Below are 27,821 nucleotides of genomic sequence, written 5' to 3'. Positions count from 1 at the left end.
AAACAATTTTAATTTTATAAATTAATTCAAACCATATACATAAACCATAAATTATATAGAAAACATATATAAATGTATCTATAAATCATATCTATGACATATAGAGAGACTATGGGAAAAAATACAGATGGATACATATCAGATTGTTAACATGGGTGAAGGGTGACTAGGGGTCATGCGGACCTATGTTCTGTGTTTGGGTGGTTTGCTGGCAGCGGAATGGGGGAAAAGGGCTTAAAGAAGAAGATGAGCCAAAAAGTACAAGGAAAGGGGAAGGAGAAGACTTCACCCTATAATTACTCCCGTATTTTGCTTAAATCCTATTTTTGTAAAACTGTGTGTGTGTGTATATGTGTGTCTTTATGTGTATGTATACATACATAGATATATTTATAGTATATGTAGAGACGGATGAATAAAGAAGAATAAAATGTGCTGCTGCACATAAATACAAATTTTGCTCCACCAAAACTCACATTAAATACCAAAATTAGCCAGGCGTGGTGGCTCACACCTGTAATCCCAGCACTTTGGGAGGCCGGGGCAGGTGGATCACGAGGTCAGGAAATTGAGATCATCCTGGCTAACATGGTGAAACCCCGTCTCTACTAAAAACACAAAAAATTAGCCAGGCGTGGTGGCACGTGCCTGTAGTCCCAGCTACTTGGGAGGCTGAGGCAGAAGAATCGCTTGAACTGGAGAGGCGGAGGTTGCAGCGAGCCAAAATCACACCATTGCACTCCAGGCTGGGCAACAGAGCGAGACTTCGTCCCAAAAAAAAAAAAAAAAAAAAAAAAAAAAAAAAAAACCAAAATTATTTTATTTTAAATTTTGATTGAAAACCTTCCTAAATCTTCTATGTGCCTGCTTTCTTATGAAGGCTCTCATAATTACACTTTTCTATTTTACTGATGATTTGGCACCAACATGGCATAATAGAAAACAGCACGTGCACTGGAGCCTGGCAGACCTTTCTTCAGACCTGCTTCCACACTTAACCAGCCTGTGGCCCAGGCAAATCATCTCACCATTTTAAGACTGCTTCCTCATCTGTTAAATGGAGACAGCATTATTAAAAACTAAGACAGTGCACTCATAATTCTCGTGAGTAACTTGAGTTATGAAATGCAATACAGACATGTGCTTTGGCCAAGTTGGCTAGCTATGTTTTTTTCTTTAGTTGGCCTCTCCTTACAGTGAACTGTTTCTCCTCCTCTCTCTTTTTACATGAAGTAGTGAGACAGGGCTGTTTAAGAATCCAAACAGTGACTACAAAGGTAGGACAGTAGCTAATATGATTTATCACTCAGCTATATTCCAGAATCAAAGAGTATAACAGAGCAAACTATCAGCTTTCGCTTCTTGCTGTCAGTGTGTCTATTTTAACAGTAATCCTCTTAATTCCTCCCCTAACTTACTTAAAATAAGCATACAGAAACTGGGTAAGAGCCTAGTCTCTATTAAGAAAAGAAAGTACACGAGTTTTAGCACATAAACTTTGTAAAGTCTGCTTACAGTTGGGTTCTTAGCTGTATTCTGTATAACTGCAATTACCACTTAGAGTCCATTAGGCAGGGAGGAAAAAAAAAAATCTCTTCCTGCAGCCTAAAAGTTGGTTATCACATCCATAGTTTAAAGATGATAAACAAAGTTATACCTTATACTTCTCATCCCATCTCTTCTCTAAACACTATGCTATTGATAATTTATTGGTTGTGAGCATTTTCCTGTTAAAATTGGAATTTTATAGTTGACAGTACTTTCTAGCAAAGTGCGGGGAGGGGAATTTGCTTCTAGAGAGCCAAATAAAGGTCTTCCCAAAACACTTATAGAAAGAGTTGGATTGAAAGTCACAAAATCCTGAAAATCTCACCACATGTTGTGTGGAGAGCAGGGGCTGAAAGAAAGCAACAGCTGAAGGCTCACAGACCTGATTGCATTTTCATCACCTTTTAAATATTAGCCTAGAAATTTTTTGCAACTCTCATTTTACCAGATGGAAACCATTAGGAAAAACAAAACTTTAGTCCTCTAGTAACCTGAACAATAGTTCAATTTGATCAATAGAAATGGCATTTATTATCTGTTTAACATATATATGATACACACTGCGATAGGGCTAATACAAAGACTAATAAAACAAGGATTCTTGCCTAAAGGTGCTCTCAGTTTGGGGGTGTTGAGATGAGTGGAGGGAAAATCAGACAATGAAGAACTATTTATAACACAGTAAGCACTCCATAAATGATAGTTATTGATTATACAAGTAGGGAGTGGGAGGACTTTGAAATAAAGACCTTGGTCCCTAAGGGCATGTATTGCTAAATGTCCCTTGAATATCACACTAAGAAGTGTGAACTTTCTCCTGTACATGATATATCAAAGCTTTCTAAGCCCAGCGAGTAAGAAAATTCATGTATCTTTTTTTTTTTTTTTTCTGAGACGGAGTCTCGCTCTGTTGCTCAGACTGGAGAGCAGCGGCGCGATCTCGGCTCACTGCAAGCTCTGCTCCTGGGTTCACGCCATTCTCCTGCCTTAGCCTCTGGAGTAGCTGGGACTACAGGCGCCCGCTACCATGCCTGGCTATTTTTTTTTTTTTTTTTTTTGTATTTTTAGTAGAGAAGGGGTTTCACTGTGTTAGCCAGGATGGTCTCGATCTCCTGACCTCATGATCTGCCCGTCTCGGCCTCCCAAAGTGCTGGGATTACAGGCGTGAGCCACCACACCCAGCCCACGTATCTTTTAAAAGATCACTCCAGCAGCAGTGTAAAAGATTGTAAGGATTTAAGATACACTGGTTTATATGATAGCCTCTGGAGCTAGACTGCCTGGGTTTGAATACAAATTCTAACACTAGTTTGTGTGACCTTGGTGAAGTTACTTAACTGCTTTGTGCCTTAATTTCTTCATCTAGGAGATAAGGAAATAGTCTAGGAAAATACAGATTAAAAACAAAGAAGGGTCGACAGATGAGACATCTTGCCAAAGAATCAATATGGTTTATCATCAACTATATCTATCACCAAGGGAAGAAAAATTAGAGAAACCAAAAATGACTAAGATTACTAGCTTGGGAGACTAGGATGGTGATAATACCATTAGACAAACCAGGGAAAAGAAAAGGAAGAGGAGTATTAACGCGATGAGTGTGGCTCCAGACACTTTGGGGTTGAGGTTCCTCAAGGACAAAAAAGTTCAAATATCCATGGTGGTTGGAAAATGCAGACTGGAAATCCAAAAGAGAGGTAGAGCTAGAGATATAGATTGAAGAGGTATTAACATGTAGATGTGTTGGTTGTAGCTTTAGTAACACAAGAGAGTACCTAGGGAAAAAGAGTAATACAGAAGAGTCCTAGTAAGCTCACAAGCCAAAGGAACTCCAACAATTAACCAAGAAGTATTGGTAAGATAGAAGGACAGGAGAAATATAGCCATAAGAAATAATCCTTTCCTTCAAGAAGATTTCAATGTCATTAAGGAGAAAAGACACACACATGTTAAATATTTTTTATTATGACTGTTTAGAATTAACAAAAGCAACTTTGAAAGTAAAACCACCTTTGCAAAAATTATGAGTGACAGAAATCAATCAACATGTAGCTGACTCCATCTTGCTTCTAGCCTCACAAGCTGTCTTTGTACATTCCTGGGCATAGGCCAAGCTAACTACGGGAGGAATTTAGTTTATAGCTTAACTTTAAAATAAAGATGATAACAGTCCCTTCCTGAAAGTAACCTCCTCCTTATTACTCAGGGACTGAAAACACCTTTGTAAAATTATGGTTCAGGAGTCATGCACCCAGAGGTCACAAGGTTTGTAACATTCCCAATTGCTCCTATAGATAACATCACTATCATAAAATCTAAGACTGGTGCTTGAGGTATTTTTCAGACTCTGAATTCTGATGGACCAGCTGGTATCAAATAAGTAGCCCATATCAAGAAACTGGCTTAATTGGTCTTATGACCCCCACACAGGAACTAACTTGGCACAAGAAGACAGCTTAGACCCCCTATGATTTTAGCCCCAACCCAACTAATCAGGTTTCCCCATTTCCTAGACCTCTGCCTACCAAACTATCCTTGAAACACTCTAGCCTGTGAATTCTGAGGAAGCGGATCTGAGAATTATCTCCCATCCTTCCATTTGGCTGGCCCTGTAATAATTAAACTCTTTCTTTGCTGCAAAACCTGTTCTCAATGCATTGACTTTTCTGGGCAGTGAGCAAGAAGAATCCATCATGCAGTTATAAAAGCAGATATGGAAAACACTAGAATGCTGGGGAGAGAAAGGGAAAATATGCTGAAAAGTAGAAAAGCTAGTGGTAACAAGGAAAAGGAATACTGGCTTAGAGGAGAAAGCTATATCCAAGACCAGGTAAGTAAAGAGGAAGAAGAAAACTAACATTTATTAAATGTCTACTATATGCCAGTAACTATCCTAAGATCTTTCAAATATTTTATCTTATTTAATTCTAACAATATTCCTAATAGAAGAGACAAATATTAGCCCCATTTTACAAAAGCAGACTAAGGTATACAAAAAGTTGACGTTACTTGCTCAAAGTCTTGCATCCAGTCTACCTACACATGGCAGTTTTAGGACTGGAATTTAGGTGAAGGACCAAAGCCCTTTATTTTCCACCATACTTCCACTTATTAAACTGGCAAAAGCAGGATATTTCTGAAGAAGAAGGGGAAAAAAACAATGAAAACTATACTAGAAAAAAACCAGAATTATTACTTTTCTTACTATAACAGAGTTATCTCTTTGAAAAAGTATAAAAGAAAAAACAACCAAAAAATGAGTTAACACTAAAAATAATCTCTCAGTCAGAGAACAGATTAGATATGATTAGACACATTAAGAAATGATTAGACAGAAATCATTGCTTCCAGGCTCATCCCTCAGGTCCACTCCACACTGACACCATGGTTAGAATTCTAAATTGCAAACCTGACTATGTCATTTACTCCTCCTCTCTTTATAATCTTTCAATAATTCCCTATCAATAGGACTTTAAAAAAACAGAACCAAAAGGAGAAAGGTACCTAATAAGCCTATTAGAAAGCTATCTACTAAGCCTGTATTCCTTAACCTAGAAGGAATCATACTAAGAGATTTTTTTAGTTAACTCCTAAAACTGAATGCTTATTTATAATTTACAACATTGCTTTATATTCCATTTTAGTCCCGTACTTTTCTCAACCCAAAATTGTAAAATAAATAAAATTTCAAATGCTAGTTAAGGAATAACATTGACACCTTGTGGTGAGCACCCTAAAATATGAAATACAACAACAAGTAAACTGGCTATTAATTAAATGTCTACTTTTACCTGAAAACAAATGCTTAATCCAGAGATTTCCAAGAGTTAAGAAGGAATAGTTCAATTACTATCCCACATTAAATGTAAATTTGGAAAGAACTGCTAATCTTTGGCAACACTGAAATTAGCCTAAATTCTTAACTATGGGTCAAAGCACCTGAATAAGGTCTCAGGTCATTGTTTTTCTATAAAACAATACAACCCATCCATCTGAAGGAGCTTTTTTCTTTTTTTTTTCTCTCTGCAGTGGAGTCCTACTCTGTCACCCAGGCTGGAGTGCAGTGGCACAATCTTGGCTCACTGCAACCTCCGCCTCCCAGGTTCAAACTAATCTCCTGCCTCAGCCTCCCGAGCAGCTGGGACTACAGGCATGTGTCACCATGCCTGGTTAATTTTTGTATTTTTAGTAGAGATGAGGTTTCACCATGTTGACCAGGCTGGTCTCAAACTCCTGACCTCAGGCAATCCGCCTGCCTTGGCCTCTCAAAGTGCTGGGATTACAGGCATGAGCCACCACACCCAGCATGAAGGAGCACCTGGTTTTAGGTGCTCCAAAGTCCTTGCCTTAGTCAAGAGTGCCCATTTTTCTGTGACACTCCCACACAAAAAGGAGAGAGAACAGATGTATCCTAGTGGCCCAACAGTACAGTGAAAATTAATTAACTAGAATATACTCTCAAAAAACAGAATCGGGGCCAGGCACAGTGGCTCACGCCTGTAATCCCAGCACTTTGGGAGGCCAAGGCAGGTGGATCATTTGAGGTCAGGAGTTCAAGACCAGCCTGACCAACATGGTGAAACCCCGTCTCTACTAAAAATACAAAAATTAGCTGGGTATGGTGGCGCATGCCTGTAATCCCAGCTACTCGGGAGGCTGAGGCAGGAGAATCACTTGAACCTGGGAGATGAAGGCAGAAGTGAGCCAAGGTCGGGCCGCTGCACTCCAACCTGGGTGACAGAGCGAAACTCTGTCTCAAAAAAAACAGAATCAGGAGACCAGGGTTCTAAACATGACTCTAAACAGCATGCAGAATTTTATAGAGTTAAGTGGCATTAAAGAATTTAGACTGTGTGTTTTCACACAAAATTACAGATCAAGTAACAGCAATTTTATAAACCAAGAAAGCATCAGGAAAAGAAAAGATATATTTTTTAAAATGACTCCAGCCAAGGACAATGTTAGAGAGGAAACCACGAACTAGAGTTTAATTCAATAGGCACACAATTAAGTTTCCTAGAAAGCACTTCACATATATCATGGCAAACACTATGGGAAAAGAGGATCATTTAATAGAGCAGATGATGGGTACTCTTTACTAATGTCTGAGAGAACTATCACCAAAGTCCCATCTGACTCATCAACTTTAATAAGTGCAATTTAAAGTTTCCAATTCCAGAACAACTCCCTGGGTTCAGTAAATTTGGTTGATAAATAGTCACGTGATCTGGTTTAGGAAAAGTATATCTGTGTTATTAGCTAGGCATGAATTGTACAATAGGCATGAGGAGACCACTGTTAATAAGGCAGTTCAAATTACTGACACATCTGAAGAGTCTGAAAAATACTCTAGATATGAACTCCCCAAGAGCCAAATCATTGCAAGATCAATGTTCAATAACTGAGCAACTACTAAATTAGCCTGATGACTTTGCATTTATGTAGGGCATTGTGTTTTCTAAAGAATGTCCACAGTCATTATGCCATGTGTGCCTTGTAACCACCAGTTTAGGAAGGTGAGACTATTAAAAGGATCTACAAAAACATTGTCAGAAAACCGTCAAAGCATCCTCCAGTCTGGCTCTTACTTGCTGTGTGCCCTCAGATAGATAAAACATTTAATGCCTCTTGGCCTCAGCTTCTACAATCAAGACAAGGGCTATCTATCATCCCTGATGCATGAAGGACTTCTAAGAGAATAAGATAAAAAATGTGAAAATGCTTGTAAATTACACAAATTTGTTACATCACTGCTTCCACTTTTTAGAAGCATCAGAGGTTAAATGAATTAGGATAAATCAAAGATAAAGGCAGGGTAGGATTAATCAAAGCATCCTCCATGATACCACACTGCTTCACAAGATCCAACAGTCTTTCTTCAGTTCCTGCTCTCCTACATTATCACAGTGTTCGCTACTCCTGGAAACTATCCTCTTTCAGCATCTATGATACTGCACTATCCCAAATCCTCTTCTTCCTGACTTAGTATTTTTTCTTTTAATTCTACTGTTTTCTCTAATAAGGTCACACAATCTCACATTTAGAACATATCTTTAAAATAATTGTACCCTACGCCTCATTTTACTTACTAAGGAAAACTGAGATCAAGAAATATTAGTGGCTTACTCATATTTCAAATAATTTCTGAACTTTCTTCTTTTCAAAACTTAAAACTTTGTGTGTCTCAAACTGAACAGGCATTAAAATATGTTTACTACAATCTCCACCCTCTAATTTCTAAATCCTGTGTGTTCTGCTACATATCCTAAGCAGTCAAGGTGTAGGCATCTCTCAAGCAAGAACCAAAACTCAGAAAATGTATATGGTTACTTTAGTCAAAATCATGTTTCTTAAGATTAATGGACACAGTCCATGTGACCAAACTCTATATCATGTGTAATAAGATTCAAGTTTCACAAACGAAAGGCCAATTTTGTAAAGTTTCTAAAATAACCAGTTCTCCGAGCATCCTTCTGGATTCTTCCTCAAGTACATATATAAAGGATGTCTAATGTTCTGAAATGTATTATGTGTCACGTAAACATTAGAAAATACTGTCAAAATCAAATTTCAATGAACAATCTGTCTGAGTAGGGTGAACATTGGTTGAGTGTTGCTGTTAACTTTATTTGGAATTGCATTTATTTTGGTGGCTTGCTCCCTGGAAAAATATCCTTGATGATCTATCACATTTAAAATTAAAGCCAGATTTTAAAATCTTTCAAAATTAAGCCCAGACATTATGAAAATATAGAGCTGAGGCCTTTAAGCCTCTGAGCATTAGATACATGCAAAGCTTTTTTGGCTTGCCAAACATAATTCTTTTAAGACAAAGAACAGGTCCAAACTCAAAGCCATGTTTGGGGCCGTTGAAGGGCTTTCCGAGTGATGCCGCAGTTGTTAAGACTTTGATAAGTCTAACTTTTGCAACTTTGATTACTGTTCTGTAGGGTACAGAAGACCAGAAAACAGTTCATGTCTGTTTTCAGATCACTGGCTTCCAAATATTCTCTCCCACTGTCCAGAGAAAGGAAATGGCTTTCCAAAGACTTTGTAAAATAGATAAATTTAAATCACTGTAGCTACAAAATTTATGACGCTTGCACTAAAAAATGCTAAGCTTGAATAACAGCCTCTAAAGCTTCCGTTAATTTTCTCACATTGAAATGTCACAAACTCAAAATGAGAAAGATTCTTTAGAATTCAGGGCAATCTAAGAAGTTTCTTACCGTAGCAAAGAGAAGACATCGTAAGAATTGCGAACACAGTTCTGATCCACCTGCAGAAGAATAGTCTTCTGAGCATTTGAATAACCCTGAAAGACATTAACCAACAAATTAATCAAAACCAAACAAAATAAAATATATGCACAAATTAATCATGCTTGTCTTTTTAAAAATATGACATATTAACAACTGAGTAAATCTAAAATTTTAGAGATTCCAAAAAGTAAAGTATATCTGCCATGTAATAGAAGCCTAACCTTTCAGGTGAGGGAATGTAAAATAAATTTTGGCAGGGGGATCTGACAAGAGTGGAGAAGGAGCGCGCCCAGCCCAGCCCTGAGTCCCGCGGCCTTCCCTCCCACCACAGTGCCAGCCCAGCAGGTGCCGCCCCAGCCATGGAGGAAGACAACAGCCCCCAGACCCCGAGGGGGCAGAGCAGATTTGGACATGTCGCCCAACGCTGCCACCCTTGTGCTGACCAGTCATCCCCAGAGAAAGATGAACACGGATCCTCGACCCACTTTGGTAATGTCTCCACAGTGACAGAAGATGACAAGGATCACACCCACAACGAGAGAGCTCCAGATGATGGCTGAACATCACCTGGGGCAACAGCACCAAGGAGAGGTGCCTGAGAAAGCTTCTGAGAGCACAGGGACCCAGGAAACGTGCCCACCCAGGATCAAAGACACGGAAGTGGAGTCAAGGCTGGGCACCTTTGGGCTAGCACAAGAGCCTGCAGAATCTATCCCGACAACTCAGGAGAGAGGCAGTAAAAAATGCAGCACAAAGGAACCCTCGATCCATGTACCACCACTGGATTCCCAGGAAGCCAGCTCGGTTTGAGAGAAGGAGGTATCCTGGAATCAAGGCTGCAGTTTGGGAATGCATGAACACTGGATTTGTTTCTTATTTCTTCACTTTTGTTGAAAATATCTTGTTTTTAAAAAGTGATAAATTCGGTGTTAGGTCAAAAAAATAAAATACATTTCTTCTCACAGTTTCCCACGGAAACAATGTTTCACATTATAAATTGTGGTGAACCTCCCAAGGAAGCTCCAGAAGTCATTTTAACATATTATGTGACTCAAAAAGAGTATTAACAATAATATTTCAACTATGCCTAGCCATCATATGTAATGTTTTTATGGGGAAAAGGGCATTCCAAGTTCTGACTAGGAACACCAGAAACAAATATTTCTACTCTGTGGTACAAAGTAGCAAGGATACTTTCTAAAAAGAATACAGGACAATTCCAGAAGAAGAACAGAATAGGTATCTCTGTCATTTAAGAAAGGCAGAGGAGACTGAGTTCAGTAATGATAAAACTCCAGTCTCCTGCATAGCTGGCTCTACATGAATTACTCTTTCCCTATTGCAATTCCCCTGTCTTGATAAATTGGCTCTGTCCAGGCAGAGGGCAAGGTGAACCAATCTGGCGGTCACACCACTGCACTCCAGCCTGAGTGAAAGAGCAAGACACTGTCAAAAAAAAAAAAAAAAGATAAAAAGGAATAAATAGTCATGTTTCTTAAAAAAAAAAAAGTGGGGGGTGGGGAGAGTACACAGTAATTTAGAAAAAAAGACTCTGGACCCACCAGGAGTCCAATTCAAGCCTTCAATACAACAGCTATATAATCTTAAGCAAGGAACCAGAGTGCTCTTAGTTTAACCTTGGTTTCTTCATCTGTAATATGGAGATGATAATAGTAACTGCCTCACAAAATGCGGGAATTAAAAGTTAATATCTGTAAAATGAAAGGTATTTAATAAGCACCACATACATGTTCGCTATAATGCTAGTAGTATCATTAAAAGTTATATCACTACAGACATTTAAAGGATATTAGGAGAATATTATTAACAACTTTATGCTAATAACTGTGACAACTTAATTAGACAAGTTCCTTGAAAAGAAACACAAAAGTGCCCAAACAGACATACTATGAAACATCTAAATAGTCCCATATCTACTTTTTTAGTGAATAAGCAATTGAAAATCTTCCCACACACACACAAATCCTGTCCAAATGGTCTTACTGATGAATTTCATCAAACATTTAAGAAAGAAAGAATATCCACTTTACACAAACTCCTTCAGAAAGCGGAGAAGGGAACAATTTCCAACTTATAAAACTAGCATTACTGATGCCAAAACTAGACAGAGACAACACACACACACAAAGGAAATTATACACCAATATCCCTCACGAAAAGAAACACAAAAATCCTTAGCGAAATATCAGCAAATTGAACCAGCAATACATTATAAAGATTAAAAAAGACATATTATTAACTGGATGTAGCCTAAGAATGTCTAGTTGATCTACCATTTAAAAAACAATCAACTAGACAAATACATGAAACAATCTTTATAAATCTATCTTGATGGGCACACCATTATAAAGATGCAATCTGTGAAAACAATGACACAAAGGTAGGGGAATAGAGCTATACAGAAGCAAAGCTTTTTACAGCATTAAAACTAAGTTGATATTAATTCAAACTAGAGAAGCTTGTTTTTTAAAAAGATCAACATTGACAAATCTTTTTTTTTTTTAAACAAGTTCTGATTCTGTTACCCAGGCTGGAGAGTAGTAGCATGATCACAGTTCACTGCAGTCTCAACCTCCTGGGCTGAAGCGATCCTCCTGCCTCAGCCACCTGAATAGCTGGAATTACAGGCATGCAACACCATACCCAGTTAATTTTTGTATTTTTTTTGTAGAGATGGGGTTTCTCCATGTTGCCCAGACTGACTTTGAACTCCTGGGTTCGTGAGACCCTCCCACCTCAGCCTCCCAATTAGCTGGGATTACAGGCATGCACCACCACGCCCAGCTAATTTTAATTTTTTATAGAGAAGGGTGTCTTACTATGTTGCCAAGGCTGCTCTTTAACTTCTGGACTCAAGCTATCCTCCTACCTTGGCCTCCCAAAGTGCTGGGATTACAGGCATGAGCCACTGCACCTGGCTCATTGACAAATCTTAAGGTAAACTAACCAAAGGGAAAGGAAAGAAGACTCAAATCACTAAAATCAGGAAAGAAGTGGGAACGTTATTACCAATCTTACAGAAATAAGAAGGCTTATAAAAGAATACAGTGAACAATTAATTGTATTCCAGCAAATCAGATAATGTAGACAAAATGATATAAACTACCAAACTACCAAAATGACTCTACCAAAATGACTCAAGAAGAAACAGAAACTACCAAAAATGACTCAAGAAGAAACAGAAAATCTGAACAGACCTATAACAGATAAAGAGGTAGATAGAATTTGTAATCACAAAACTCCCACAAAAAAAAAAAAAAAAAAAAAAAAAAAGCCCAGAACCAGATTATTTGACTGGTGAATTTGACCAATTATTTAATGCCAATCCTTCTCAAAGTCTTCAAAAAACATAAAAGCAAGGAAATACTTCTTAAGTTATTCTATGAGACCAATACTATCCTGATACCAAAGCCAGACAAAATGTCACAAGAAAACTATAGACCAATATCCTTTATGAATACAGATATAAAAATCTTCAACAAAATACTACTAAAAGTGATCTAGTGGCATATTAAAAGAATTACAGCCCACAACCTGGCAACTATTTCTGGGTATGTACCCCAAAAAAGTGAAAGCAAGAATGGGAAGTGCCATTTGTATATCCATATTCATAGCAGCATTATTTACAATAGCCAAGGGGTGGAAGCAACCCAAGTGTCCACAGACAGATGATGGATAAACAAAACATGGTATATTCATACAAGGAAATATTATTCACCATTAAAAAGGAAGGAAATTCTGACACACGCTAAAACATTGATGAAGCTTGAGGACATTATATTAAGTGAAATAAGCCAATCAAAGGAAAAACATTCATTCATTCATTCATATGAGGTACCTAGAGTAGTCAAAATCATAGAAACAGAAAGTCGAACGGTAACTGGCAGGGACCAGGGGATAGGGGAGAATGAGGAATTATTGTTTAATAAAGAGTTTCAGTTTTGTAAGGTGAAAAGTTTTGCAAGATGAAATACATGGATGGTGGCAATGGTTGCACAACAGTGTGAATGTACCTAATGCCACTAAACTGTATACTTAGAATGGTTAAGATAGTAAATTTTGTGTATTTGTAATTTACCACAAAAAAAATTTTTTAAAGATTATACACCATGAACAGCTGAAATTCATACACGGTATGCAAGGGAATTTCGATACATGAAAATCAATCAGGCTAGGCACCTGTAATACCAGCACTTTGGGAGGCACAGGCAGGAGGATCACTAGAGCCCAGGAGTTAGAGACCAGCCTGGACAATACAGTGAGACACCATTTCTAAAAAAAAAAAAAATTGTTTTAATAAAGAAATTGGCTGGGCATGGTGATGCATGCCTGCAGTCCCGGCTACTCAGGAGGCTGAGGTGGGAGGATCACTTGAGCCCAGGAGTTTGAGGGTACAGTGAGCCATGATTGTGCCACTGCATTCCAGCCTAAGTGACAGAGCAAGACTCTGTCAAAAAGAGAAATTATAGAAAGAAGGAAGGAAGGATCAGTGTAATACACCACAACACACACAGTCATCTCAGTTGATGCAGAAAATGCATTTGACAAAATTCAGCACCTTTCCATGATTTAAAAAAAAAAAAAATCACAAACTAGGAATAGAAAGGAATTTCCCAGACCTGATAAAGGGCATCTACAAAAAACCCACAGCTAACACCATACTCAATGGTGAAAGACTCAAAATCTTCCCCCAATATCAAAAACAAGAAAGACAAGGTGATTGCTTTCACCACTTCTACTCAACATTTGTACTCTAAGTTCTAGCCAGAACAATTAGGCAAGAAAAATAAAGTGTATTCCAAACTGGACCAAAATAAATAAAATGGCATCCCATGTTCACGGATATAAAGACTTAATATTATCAACATAGGAACAATACCCAAAGCAATCTAGATAAGATATTCAATGCCATCTCTATCAAAATTCCAGCAGCCTTGTTTACAGAAATGGACAAGCCAGTTCTCAAATTCATATGGAATTGCAAGGGGTCAATAGCCAAAATTATATTGAAGAGAACAAAGTTAGAAGATTCGCATATCCCAATTTCAACTTAATACCAAGCAACAATAGTCAAAACAGGATAGCACTGGCATAAGGACAGACATATAAATCAACAAAATAGAACTGAGAATCCAGAAATAAATCGATGCATCTATGATCAACTGATTTTCAGCAAAGGTTCATAGACTACTCAATGGGGAAATAAGTCTTTTCATCAAATGGTGCTAAAAAAACTGGATAGCCACTTTTAAAAGAATGAAGTTGGACCTGTCCTTAATACCATATTTTTAAATTACCTCAAAATGAATCAAAGACTTAACTGTAAAACCATAAAGCTGGCCAGGCACGGTGGCTCGCGCCTGTAATCCCAGCACTTTGAGAGGCTGAGGTGGGCAGATCACTTGAGGTCAGGAGTTCGAGACCAGCCTAGCTAACATGGTAAAACCTGGTACCTCCTAAAAATACAAAAATTAGCCAGGCATGATGGCACGCGCTTGTAATCCCAGCTACTCGGGAGGCTGGAGGCAGGAGAATCACTTGAACCCAGGAGGCAGAGATTGAAGTGAGCTGAGATCACGCCACTGCACTCCAGCCTGGGCAACAGAGTGAGACTCTATCTCCAAACAAACAAACAAACAAAAAAACCCACTATAAAGCTAAAAAAAACCTATAGAACTATTAGAAGAAAACACAGGGGTTTATATAACCTTGGATTTACCAATCTATTCTTAGATATGATATAAAAAGCATTAGTACAAAAAAATCAGTAAATTATACTTCATTAAAATCAAAAACTTTTGTGCATCAAAGGACACTATCAATTAAGTAGAAAAAGAACCCAACAGAATGGGAGAAAATATTTACAAATTGTATATCTGACAGAGGTCTAATTTCCAGATGATATAAAGAACTCATACATTCAACAGCAAAAAGACAACTCAATTTTAAAATGGGCAAAGAACTGCAAGAGACATTTCTCCAAATAAAGACATACAAATAGCATAACAAACAAACAGAAGATAGTGAGGATGTGGAGAAATGAGAACCCTCACATATTGCTATTAGGAATGTATTGGTCAGCCACGGTAAAAAAAAAAAAGTTTAGCAGTTCCTCAAAAAGGTAATCATAGAATTATAATATGACCCAGCAATTTCACTCCTAGGTACATACCCAAAAGACTGAAAACAGGGACTCAAACAAACAGTTGTACACAAATGTTCACAGCAGCACTATTCACAACAGTCAAAAAAAGAGAAACAACACAAATGTCTATCAACAGACATGAATAAACAAAATGTGTGTGTGTGTGTCTCTGTGTGTGTACACATGCAATAGAATATTACTCAGCCCTAAAAAGGAATGAAGTACATTCCTTCCTACATGTAGATGCAACACCAAAACATTACACTAAGTGAAAAAAGCCAGAACAAAAGGTCACATACTACATAATTCAATTTGTATGAAATACCCAAAATAGGTAAATCCATAGAGATGGAAAACAAACTGGTGTTTGCCAGGGGTTTGGAGGACAGCAAAATAGAAAGTGAGCACTTCATAGGTACAAAGTTTAATTTGGGGATTATGAAAATGTTTTGCAACTTGACAGAGATGGTGGTACACAACACTGTGAATGTACCCAGAGCCACTGAATTGCACACTTCAAAACAGTTAATTTATGTTACATTAATTTCACTTCAATTTTAAAAAATGGATGCTAAGAAATAATCAATACATTTTAAGAGGAGATGAGGAGAAAAAGGACAGAGGAGACAGTCTTATAAATCAGCAACAAAATCCAAATAATAGAAGACTTGAGAAGTAGATTTAAGATTCTCAGGAGAAATAATTAATGATGTTCTACTTAGCTTTTCTTATTTTACGGAAAAAGCTGCCAAATATTTTTTCTTACTATAAAAAATTTATCCACACCCACCGACATACAACTAAAAGCCACACTTTATAACAGGGAAAGAACATTCAACTGAAAGCTAGAATCCTGGGTTTTAATCTACTCTGCCTATCGCATAAGTAAGGAAAATAATTTAACTCTCCTAGGCCTCAGTTTCTTTAATTATAAAATGAGATGCAACTACTACTAATAAAAACAGTAATAAAAAATAACAGCAATATAAAAAGTAATGTTTACATGCATTTACAGTGTGGCAGGCAGTATTGTATTTTACATGTCAACGTTAGCTGTTAATATGTTAAATGTTAACACATTTAATACTCACAAACCCCTGTGAAACAGGTGCTATTAATATCCCCACTTTAAAGGTGTGGAAACTGAGACACAAAGAGGATTAAAGAGAAGAGCCATGCAGTCTGGCTCCACAGCCCGTGTTCTTAAGAACCAGGCTATACTTGATGATCTCTAGGACCTTTTCCAATTCTAAAAATTCTGAGTCCATGTACATTTAAGGCAATTTAAGGACATTATTAAGCCCTCCTGTTTCAGCCATCACTTAGCAATTAACATTCTTGAAATATGCTAAGAGCCTTGTTCTGAATGACATCTAACTTCACCAGATGTTCGATCCCAACAGACTTCTGATGAAGGATTATAATGGAAAGAAACGGCTCATTTGTATCTGGTTATCTGTGTGAGATACTGCCAAGTGCCAAAGAGCCCAGAAGAGATTTACATGTCACTCAAAATTCTTCTGAAGTCAGGCCTAACAATTCTTCAAGGAACAGAATAGTAACAAGTCTGGGTGAGTGCCTATTAAACTGCTCAGGGAAATAGATAATTTAACATATCCAATGAGCAGGAGTAATTCCAGGCAAGTCAGGTGTATTTCTAGATGAGTGGTCAGCAAACTTTTTCCATAAAGGGCCACATAGTAAATGTTTTAGGCTTTGCAGGCCACATGTCATTTCTGTCACATAGTCTTATTTTTTCTTTAAAATTCTTTAAAAATGTAAAATCATTCTTAGTCGCAAGCTATACAAAAATATGTGCTGGACTACAGTTTGCTTATCCCTGTACTAGTTCATTGGATGAGTCACGTTTTAAAACATGTTACTATATATTTTGAGAGTTTTTAGCTGCAACAACACAAGACTGTCCTTAACTTCATTAAAACTACAAAATGTATACAGAAATAACGCAGTTAGTAGGATAACTGATTAGGAAGCAAATAGCATTATACATATACTTATTCCTTTCAGTGTTTACTGAACACCGAGTACATAGATGGTGTTAGGCAATTATTACTACTGTCCTCATAGAGAACACAACCCAGTGAAGGTTCCAAGTGAATCAAATAATGCAAGAGTGCCATAAGAAAGGCTTTTTAAAAAGCTACAGGAGTTCTGCTGCAGTAAAGATTCCATCTGGTAGAGCAGGAACATCAAAGACTGCAGGGGTGGCAGTATTTGGGATGGATTAAGTAGTACTGAAAAGCTGAATGGCAGTGAAGGAAAGTCCCACACAGACTGAACACCTTTAGCCAAAGCATGACAGCAGGAAAACACAAGCTGCATTCAGAGAAAATTAAATAGTAGTCCAATTCGTTTAGCTTCAGTGACGTGGAAATTATTTGGATCCCTGGAGAGGGAAGTAGTGGGAGATACAGCTGAATAAGTAAGTAAGGAGGGCCAGAACACAGCAAGTCTTGAATACCATGCTAAAATGTAAAGACAACCTATGGGCAGTAAGAACTCATGGAAGGTTTCTAACAGTTTAGGGTTATAATCAGAGCTACATTTAAGGAAGGTTACTCTGGTATTAACAAACCTCATAAATTGGAGGAAGACTGTCCAACTACCCGATAGGAGGCTACTATAAAAATCCATACATATTAGACATAATGAGGGTTCAAAATCCATCAGTGGCAATGGTAATAAAAAACAACAGAAACAGAAAAAGAGAGAGGAGGAGGAGGAAGGTGGGGAGGAGGAGGAGAAGGAAGAAGAGAGATAAAAAGCGGAGACAGAACCCAAAGTACTATACAACTGACTGAATTTGGGCTGATGGAGAGAAAGCAATCAGACCAGAGAGTTGGACACATCTAGCAGACAATAAGAATTTACTCCATACAATCTTTAAGCAAAGGAATAAAAAACGAAAGCATCCTTTAGCAAGATTAATCAGGCAGCAGTAAGACAGAGTGGATACAAAGAGACTAGAGTCTATAGGTCCGCCAGGAAACTACTGCAGTGACCCAGCCCTTTGGGAATGTTGATCTGAGCTTGGATTATGTCAATGGAGAGGGAAAAGTAGCCACAGATACCAGAACTACTTCAAAGAAGAACTCAAAAGAGTCTAGTGGCTGACTGAATAGAATGGATAAAATTAAAAAAAATCAACACTTAACTATAAAATTTGAGGCCAGGATAAATGAAAAAATAGTTAATAAAGACATGGAAAACTGGAAGAGAAAGCAACCTTGGAGAGAAAAAATGAAGAGCTCCATTTAAAGTATAATAATTTGGCAGGCATCTATGCAGAAATGTCAGAAACCACTAAGACAGAGAATTACAATTTTGAGTAACAAGCTATATCAGGGGTTCCCAACCCCCAGGGCAAGCATCACCACCTGAGCTCCCCCTCCTGTCAGATCAGCGTGGGCATTAGATTTTCATGGGAGCTCGAACCCTACTGTAAACTATACATGCAAGGGATCTAGGTTGTGCGTTCCTTATGAAAATCTAACTAATGCCTGATCATCTGAGGTGGAACAGTTTCATCCTGAAACCGTCCCCACTCCCGTCCCTGGAAAAACTTGTCTTCCACAAAACCGATCCCTGGTGCCAAAAAGGTTGGGGACTGCTGAGCTATACTACTGATGACAACCAAGTGGTGTATTCCAATAGAATTTCTAATGATCTGCTGCTACAGAAGCTTCATTCACTCATTTGACAAGAATGTACTGGATTATTATTACATGCCAGACACAGTGCTAAGCACTAGGGATCAACAGGTGAAAACAGACACTGTCCTTGCCCTCACACAGTTTACAGTGTAGCAGGTAAGAGAGGTAAGCAAACGGGCAATCAGAATATAATAGGATAAGGGTCAGTGAAGAGGGAAATGTAATACAAGGTGCTACGGAAGCATATAAAAGGGATCTATCCACACTGGACTTAAGAGGTATATCACAGAAAAACCTTCCTATAGAAATGAGGCCTTAGCTAAAACTGACGTGAACAAATCTTAGCCTGAGAAAGTGTTAAGGATGGAGTGTTTAGAAATAAGGAATAGCAAGACCTCATAAGTCATTAATTATTGAGGGCAAACACTGCTGACAAGATTTGAATAAAGGAAGAATATGATCATTTTAGAAAAATAAATCTGACTATAATGTCAAGAACCAGGAAAAAAGTAGCAGCCACCATCAGTAGTGATGGAAACACAGAAGAAGGGACTCAGGACAACTCTATGTTCTGACTTGAGAAAGTAGATGGATTGTGGTACCATTCACTTCACTAAGAAACACAGCAGGAGGAAGTGTTGTGAGAGGGGAAGGGAACTGAGCTCAGTTTGGGCTATGGAGAGCATATGTATCTCTGAAACATCCAGGCAAATTTGACACATGTTTAGATACATGGAAATCTAGACTGGAGGTGTTTATCTGGGAGGAAATCTCTCCCCAGCAGGACTTGCCAGTGTTCTATATTTATTCATAAAACCATAAGTGAGCTTTGAAAATAGTCGTCTTCTACTTAACCTAGGTAAAATAAGAAATCTTGATGGGCAAGGGAAAAAAAAACAATGGCTCATCCTACTACTTGAGCACATTTTCAGATGCAATGAGTATACTTTTTTAAAAATACAGTGTTTGTTTGTATGACTACAGCTACCTAATGAATCAGTAGACAGCCTGTGTTCCTAGGTGTATATGTTCATTTGGACATTAATAACACTTCTAGGCATCAGCCAAGTTTAAGCCGAATAAAACTGTGTACGTATCTCTGTTAAGCATCATCAAGCCTTAGACACCCCTGGCTCTGAGATCTGACGAAGCCCAGATACTGAGTAGTTAAGGAGGAAAGGTGAGACCTCTTCTTAGACAATTAACCTGAGCTGAATGAGTACATCCCCTCAGATTTGGCCCAGTGTTTGAGACAACAGAGGATGTTTTTCCTCTCCTTTAAAACAGTGAGAAGCACTGAGAAATAAGAATAGTGTCATTAAGCAAAGATATACAGATCCTGAAATTAAAATTAATTATTTTAAATTTAAATCAACAGAGATGAAGATGTTTTTGTTCATACTTCAAATATTCTCAGAAAATAATCACAATCACAGGCACACACTCCAAGTATGAAGTGGACTAAGTGCCTTCAATGCTACTCCATGACATGAGGACTGAAAGTAACCCTGCTGAAGTAGCCGTCCCTTAAGCAAAAAGTCTACCTTAAAACAGAGATGGGAACAACGTGATCCTAGTAGACTTCATTCACTCATGGAAAAATATTCAGTAAGCAAAGTCTGAGACTTTAAAGCTGAGTAAGGCATAACCTCAGCCCTAAAGGAGCATACACCCTAATAGGAAGAAAGGATGTATGGCCAAATTACTATAACGGTGAAAGCAGAGAGAAAGAAGAGAAGGCAACAGTGACAGCATGTTAACTAGCATTCGTGGAGAGAGAAAAAAAGAGAATGAGGGAAGATTCCCAGCTTTGTACAACAGTTGAAACAGAAATTAACTTACAGGATGGGGTGAGGAGGCTCAAAAATGCCCTCTATACAAATCTAAAAAAGAATGGTGAAAACAAGTTTTCAAAATATTAAACAAAACAAAATTTTAAACTCTCTGAATCCCCTGGTGAGAACAAGTCGAACTCTGTTTCTGTTTACTTCTCAAGAATCTAAAACATCTATATAAAGAACCATACTTGGCTTTGAATTTTACAGTATTAAAAGTTCTCAAAAGCTCAAAAATTGTGCTAAGAAGACAAGATCCTCCAAATTCATAACAGGAAACGTGGCATTTTCCCAGATTATTCTCTGGCTTCAATGAAGAGAGAGAATGGGGACCACACTGCAGCAGCAGGGTTTATAAATATGAATTACAGGATAAGATGATTTTCCAAACACCTGTCAAAAGCTAATTCAATCCAAGAGAAAAGGGGGAAAAAAGACTCAGAGGGAAGCCAAATACAGTGACTAATGTGTGGAACTTTTGTGGACTTCAGTGGGTTGATGGTCTCATGGGCATTGCATGCCCACTCTACAATAATAAATGCACAAAGTCTGTAGAATAAAGCACTTTGATACTGTTCAAAGTGTTTGCACGTGTTCTCTCTCATTTGATTCCCACAATGCACAACTAGTTATGCTTTGTGCTGGTTAATGTGAAGGCAGAGACTTGGTACGCTGTCACACTATATGAAGTGGGAAGAAATGTGGAGATGTCATACAGCATAGCGGTTAAGAAAACAAGCCTTCAAATGAATGAGACCTGGGCTCGAATCATGGATCTGCTATTCACCACCTATGCCATCTTGCTTGGGGCAGTAGTTTAATGCCTTCTTCTAAGGTACTTCACTCATAAAAGCAGGAGAACTACCTCATGGGGCTGTTATACACAAATTAAATAAAAATACATAACCTTTCTGACATAGTGTCTCATAGCAGGCACTCAGTAAATGAAAACTGGCAATGGTAGTTTTTTTAAAGCTCTGTATTCCTGAGAAGAGAAATGGAAGAAATATTTAAAAATAAAATAAATAAAAGCTCTATACTTACCTAGTATAATACTGTTAGTACACAATCACACCAGCTCAAATAGTTCAGAAATAAAATTTTACCCTGGATTTAATCTGGGTTCAGATCTCTAGATGCTTTATAATAAAGCAAGCAGCTATTATAAACAGTCCCTGAGGATTTTCCCAGTCTTTCTTTGTTCTATTTTGTAAGGCAGGGGAAAGGAAAACCAAACAGAATATGCATAGGAATGGACTTTTTAAATGATTTTTTTTCCAACTTTTCCTTGATAATGTACTAAAAGACCTGGGCAGAAATACACCATATCCAGCTCTTTGTTATTAAAATATTGGCTTTACTTGGGACAGTTAATCCCTACTTCTGAATGATGTTCTGCTTGCGTACTGTTTGGGACGTGCTTTGGAAACAAGTTAGTATCCATTAGTATGACTAGCAAGAGGAAATAACCACCTATTTAATTTCTCAGTTCTACAAAGTTAACTACATGGAAATCTCTTAACTTCTCTGGGTTTCAGCATCTTCATCCTGAAAATGAAAATACTACTACTTGCCCCCCTAAGACGCTATAAGTTAAAGGAGATGTCGCTAACAGTATATAATCACAGTGAAATTAAATGATGGAAGAAACCTCAAACAAAAATTAAATGATGAAAATCTTCTATCACATCACCTCTTCACAGGTGACGTAGTATAACGAAGAAAGTGCACGTCTATAAAGAGGGAGAGATGTGTTCTGATCCAGGTTCTGCCACAACTCATCCTAACATCTTGGCCATTCATTTTTATTCCATAAGTACTTACTATATACCTATTAGATGCCTGCTACTGAGCCTGGTATTACAAAGTTAAAATACAGTTTGTACCTTCTAGAAAGAGAGAGAGATAGACAATTCAAAAAACTACAATAAACTCAAGAGCTACTAACAGAGGTATGTCAAAAGGGCTTCAGGAGCAAAGAGAAAGGGGCAATTCATTGTACAGAAATGATTAAGTCACGGAATGAAAGGAAGTCACTTTGCCCCTCTGTGACTCAATTTCTTTTAAGCAAATAATGATAAATTGGCCCTACCTTCCTCTAAGGTTGTTATAAGGCTGGAATAAATGAATTACAGACAAAACTCTAAAGATTAAAGAGCTATGGGCCAGGCGCAGTGGCTCACGCCTGTAATCCCAGCACTTTGGGAGGCCGAGGCGGGTGGATCACGAGGTCAGGAGTTCAAGACCAGCCTGGACAAGATGCTGAAACCCCATCTCTACTAAAAACACAAAAAAATTAGCCGGGCGTGGTGGCAGGCCCCTGTAATCCCAGCCACTCGGGAGGCTGAGAGAGAGAATTGCTTGAACCCAGGAGGCGGAGCTTGCAGTGAGCCGAGATCGCGCCACTGCACTCCAGCCTGGGTGACAGAACGAGACTTGTCCAAAAAAAAAAAAAAAAAATTAAAGAGCTATGAAGGTAAGTATATAGATATATAGAGATAAATAAATTATAGCAGCTGGTAGCTCATGCCTGTAATCCCAGCACTTTGGGAAGCCGAGGTGGGCAGATCACTTGAGGTCAGGAGTTCGAGACCAGCCTGGACAACATGGTGAAACCCCATCTCTACTAAAAATACAAAAATTAGCTGGGTGTGGTGGCGGATGCCTATAATCCCAGCTACTCGGGAGGCTGAAGCAGGTAACCGATTGAACCTGGGAGGCAGAGGTTGCAGTGAGCCGAGATCATGCCACTGCACTCCAGCCTGGGTGACAGAATGAGATGCCATCTCAAAAATAATAATAATAAATAAAATAAATTATAGCTATGTCTAAGTTATCATCTGTAGCATAGAGCTAACTTGCCATGTCAAGTTCAATAAATCATGAGCCCCCTGAACGTCAGTTTTTCCATCTACAAAATAAGAGTGTTGGGCTAGATAACTAATATTCCCTGCGGTGTTATCCAGCTAATTAGGATTTTCTTACTTTTGAGATGAGGAACCTAAAACTGAGAGAAGTTAAGTGATTTGCTAAGCAACACAGTACCAGAACAAATTGAAAAATATAAAATAAGGAGTTTTCATTTGTTCAGGCTTTCAAAACAGATCCTGAAACTTTTTATACCTAAATCTTCAATCTCAGCCTATGTACTCGAGACGATCAAGTTATATGGTTATTTTTGTGAAATTCATCACCAAATTGCTATTTCAATATCTTGGGTTTCTTTCATCCACAAAGATTTGCTCCTTTTGACTTGGATTCTATGCCTGCTCTAATTTTTTCCATTAAAGTGAGAAAGTATTGCCATCTACTGGACTCTAAAGATATTACCGCTGTAGCTTCTAGTCAGAAAAATGAAATTCTTACTTGTATCTCTATGTATCTATATACTTACCTTCACAGCTCTTTAATCTTTAGAGATTTGTCTATAAGTAATTTCACTCCAGCCTTATAACAACTGGTCTAATGCTTTTGCACCTTATCAATAGCACAAAAGTTGGAGTAATTATGCCAATATGAGTTACATAAAAATAAATACCAAAAGTTGAGGCTGGAGGTAACCCAGGGTGGAACAAATATCATCTACTCAAGATTTTTATTCTCAATGATTGCTGTGATAGCCCTAAACACAGCAAGCATTCACCTTCATTCACTAACAAAGTTTTACTGAGAGCCTACTACATACCAGGCACTGTGCTAGAGATATAGTGTTAATACAATGGTAAGCATTAGAGATGTAATTCCTCTTATCATAGGATTTAGAGCCTAGTGAGTAGAAGTTTCCATTTACTGGAGTAATAGTTGTCAGGAGTGCCTATAATTAAACTTATATCAATCTGACTCCAATATCCATATTCCTAACGACTAGGACTGTGCATTCATAAAAAGCAGCTGTCAGCAGTCCCACAAAAGACGAGTGGTCACCAAAATGAAATAAAGGCAAAGATAATCTTACCTGTATACATTAAAGGCAAAATCCTGAATAGGGATCTGAAAGATTTCCAGCTTACTGACTCAACAGCTTTTTATTTATCATCCTCCCCTAATCACCATCATAGCGGTTAAACCCACCTAGAAAACCCCTGTAGAAATCTCTAAAGGTCACCCAGCCTTATTCACCAACCTCCACACCAACTTCAAGGTATAACAAAGCTCCTCTTTGCTTCCCAATAGTCACCAAACATTAAAACCTCTTCCTGAAGTGCTCTTCAAATTATTTAAGGTTCTGCTATAACTTACCTGCATTATCTGCAAGATGCAAACAAATGACACCAAAAACAATTTTTCAAACTAAACTCATTTGTAAACTGCATGTCTTCTGGAATATATACTGTCTTATCTCCTCAACAAAGAAAATAAATTTTGAATCCATGTCTTATACTTTTGTATCCCACAGTACCTAGTTTAATAATAGGCTTGTAGTAGGCGCTTGACATTTTTTGCCAGGAAAAAAAATCATGAATCACTTTTACAACTAAGACAAAAATTTGCATCATCACTTATTCAACTTCTCTTTTGTCTGAATTGCTATTAAATACTTAAGATTGCAGTATCTGGCCAGGTGTGGTGGCTCACGCCTGTAATCCCAACACTTCGGGAGGCCAAGGTAGGAGGATCATTTGAGCCCAGAAGTTCAAGACCATCCTGGGCAACACAGTGAGACCTCATCTCTATTTTTTTTTCCTTTAAAAAAAAAAAAACAGAGTGCCACATTTGTATGCCAAATAAAGACCATTTTGCTACATACGCTTAACCAGAATATATCACTCCCTAACAATGCCAGAAGAGGTTACTGAACAAAGGATTAAAATCCAGTATTTATTTTAATGAAAAATTTTTCAGTGTATTAGGTAGTGTCCAACACACTCCTGGAAGTGAAAATGAACTACTTAGCCATTGTATTCTATAGTTAAGAGATTTTGGTTCCTAAAAACTCAACAGAAAGATGTAAAGCCTTTGGGAGAAGCAGATAAACAAAGAGGGAAAAGTTATGAACAGATAAGTAATTTCAGCTTTTAGATCCATAGTGCCTGAAGACATATTAAGATAATGTAGACAGAGGGAGTATTAACATCAACAAAATCATCAGCAATAATAATAAAACTGTTTCTGGTCACAGCTAATGTAAAAAAGAAGAATGCCAAAGAACTGGTCAACAAAAATTTTAGGCATTATTGAAAGCTGCTTTAAAATGTGCTCTGTCATTGCTTCCTAAGGGTAACTTTTCCTCTTCTGTATAAAACACTCATTCTTAAAATTTAATCCTGTTCTCAAAGCCTTGTTGCTTCAGCATTTTTAAAGTTTTAAACGAAATACTTCAAAACTATATGATATCCATTTATAATTATTGTGATTACAAATATATTTGGACATAATGCTACCCCCACACTACATGTTTCTTTTTATCTTTTGTTTCCTTTTCTGTTACCTACCAAGTTGACAAAGCTTTCTATACTTTATTCCCTTTTTTCCTCTGCTAATTAGAAATCTATAATCTCTGCTTTCCATCTTTTTTTTTTTTTTTTTTTTGGTAGAGACGGGAGTCTCACTTTGTTGCCCAGGCTGGTCTCAAACTCCTGGCTTCAAGCGATCCTCCCACCTCAGCTTCCCAAAGTGCTAGGATTATACAGTCTGGGCAGGGTGCCTCAGCCTGTAATCCCCACACTTTGGGAGGCTGAGGAGGACGGATCACTTGGGATCAGGGGTTTGAGACCAAAGTGCTGGGATTACAGGTGTGAGCCAACACACTCAGCCCTCTGATTTTAGCCTTTACTAGGTATCCTTAAATTTTTAACATGTACACTTGACCAAAATTTTTTCTAGCAAATTCTAAAGTTGGTTACTATCTCTATCCTCCTCCCAAACAAATCAGTGATCTCAATGAGTCTTAACCCTTTGAACACCCACTCTCATTATTGTTGTCTAGGGCAATGCTTTTCACTCTCTGTGGGGAAAGACCAGTTGGCTGGAGTTTTTTTTTTCTTCATTCCATTGTGAACTGATACTTTTGTAAAATACAATGAAGAGTCACAATAACGTCAAATTGCTATAGAAGTTTTGAAACTTTTACCCTCACTTTTTCCACGTTGCTCACCACAGATTGTGACAGACAGTTCCTAGACAAGCAGCGGTCCAGACTACATTTTGAATAACAATGGCCTAGCTTCTTTCACCTTAAAACACATAGGTTTATCAGATATTTATTTTTGTTTGTTAGCTTACAGTCAGAAATTAAATTCACTAATGTTTTAACCATTTGTATACCCCTTGCTGTTTTCTTATACACTATATGCTCCCTTTGGTATCATCTTCTATGTGCATCATTCAGCATGGGTAAAGGGTCTGTGGGTAGTAAACTCTCAATCTTTATGCATTTAAAACTATCCCTGACAGGTGCAGTGGTTCACACCTATAATCCCTGCTACTCAGAGGTGGGACTGGGCAACAGAGTGAGACTCTGTCTCAATCAATAAAATGCTCTCTCACCCTCGCTTTTTTTTTTTTTCTGTCACATAGGCTAGAGTGCAATGGTGCGATCACAGCTCACTGCAGCCTCAAATTCCTGGCTCAAACAATCCTCCCACCTCAGCCTCCCAAGTAGCTTGGACTACAGCCATGTACCATGCCTGGCTAATTTTTTTTTTTTTTTTTTTTTTTTTTTGGTAGAGATAGTATTTCATTATGTTACCCTAGCTGGTCTCAAATTACCCTCACTCTTGACTGAAAGTTTACTAGAAACAATTAATAATTAACAGCGCATTGAAGACCTATTTCTTCTGGCATCTACTGCTGCTGATGAGAAGTCTGCTGTCAGCCTAATTTGTGAGTAATATTTCCTTTCTCGCTGGTAGCTTTTCAAATTTCCCCTTTTAGGATTATTCTTAAAGTTCTGCAGTTTCTCTAAGCTGTCTTTTCTCGGCCCTTTTTTTAATAGGGAGAGCCCCACTCAGCTTTTCGTGCTCATTTAGTGCTCATTTTACCCTGAAGAGCCCATCTTTCTGCCTACTTCTGGGCAGAGTGGCCAGAAGGCCCAAGTCTTCTGCTTCTTCCCACTTCTTTGTGTTTCTATTCCACTTCTGTTTGGGAGATGTTTATTGCCTTGGTTTCTTGTTTGTTTTAGGAAGGAATAATTCTTCTTTTTTTCTTTTTTTTTTTGAGACGGAGTCTTGCTCTGGCCTCCAGGCTGGGGTGCAGTGGTGCGATCTCGGCTCACTGCAACCTCCACCTCCTGGGTTCAAGCAGTTCTCCTGCCTCAGCCTCAGAGTAGCTGGGATTACAGGCACCCGCCACTATGCCTGGCTAATTTTTGTGTTTTTAGTAGAGATGGGGTTTCGCC

At 38.1% G+C, this 27,821-nt stretch overlaps 1 protein-coding gene and 1 pseudogene across 9 annotated transcripts in view; one reads left to right on the top strand and one right to left on the bottom strand.

Moving 5' to 3' along the window:
- The window catches only part of UVRAG (UV radiation resistance associated), a 329,023-nt gene that overhangs the window by 223,416 nt on the left and 77,786 nt on the right, over nucleotides 1-27,821 (bottom strand). For all 9 annotated transcript variants that reach the window (NR_170160.1, NR_170161.1, NM_001386671.1 and 6 more), the window contains one exon: nucleotides 8,778-8,863. Coding sequence is in view for 7 of the 9 variants with exons in the window: in NM_001386671.1 (NP_001373600.1) it covers nucleotides 8,778-8,863 (86 nt within the window). In the remaining 2 variants the exon portion in view is untranslated. The remainder of the gene's footprint in view (nucleotides 1-8,777; nucleotides 8,864-27,821) is intronic.
- PPP1R1AP1 (protein phosphatase 1 regulatory inhibitor subunit 1A pseudogene 1) lies at nucleotides 9,193-9,617 on the top strand (annotated as a pseudogene).

The sequence above is a fragment of the Homo sapiens genome, chromosome 11 (genome assembly GCF_000001405.40).
Source record: "Homo sapiens chromosome 11, GRCh38.p14 Primary Assembly".
NCBI classification, from domain to species: domain Eukaryota; kingdom Metazoa; phylum Chordata; class Mammalia; order Primates; family Hominidae; genus Homo; species Homo sapiens.
This window is presented reverse-complemented; position numbering and strand designations above follow the sequence as displayed.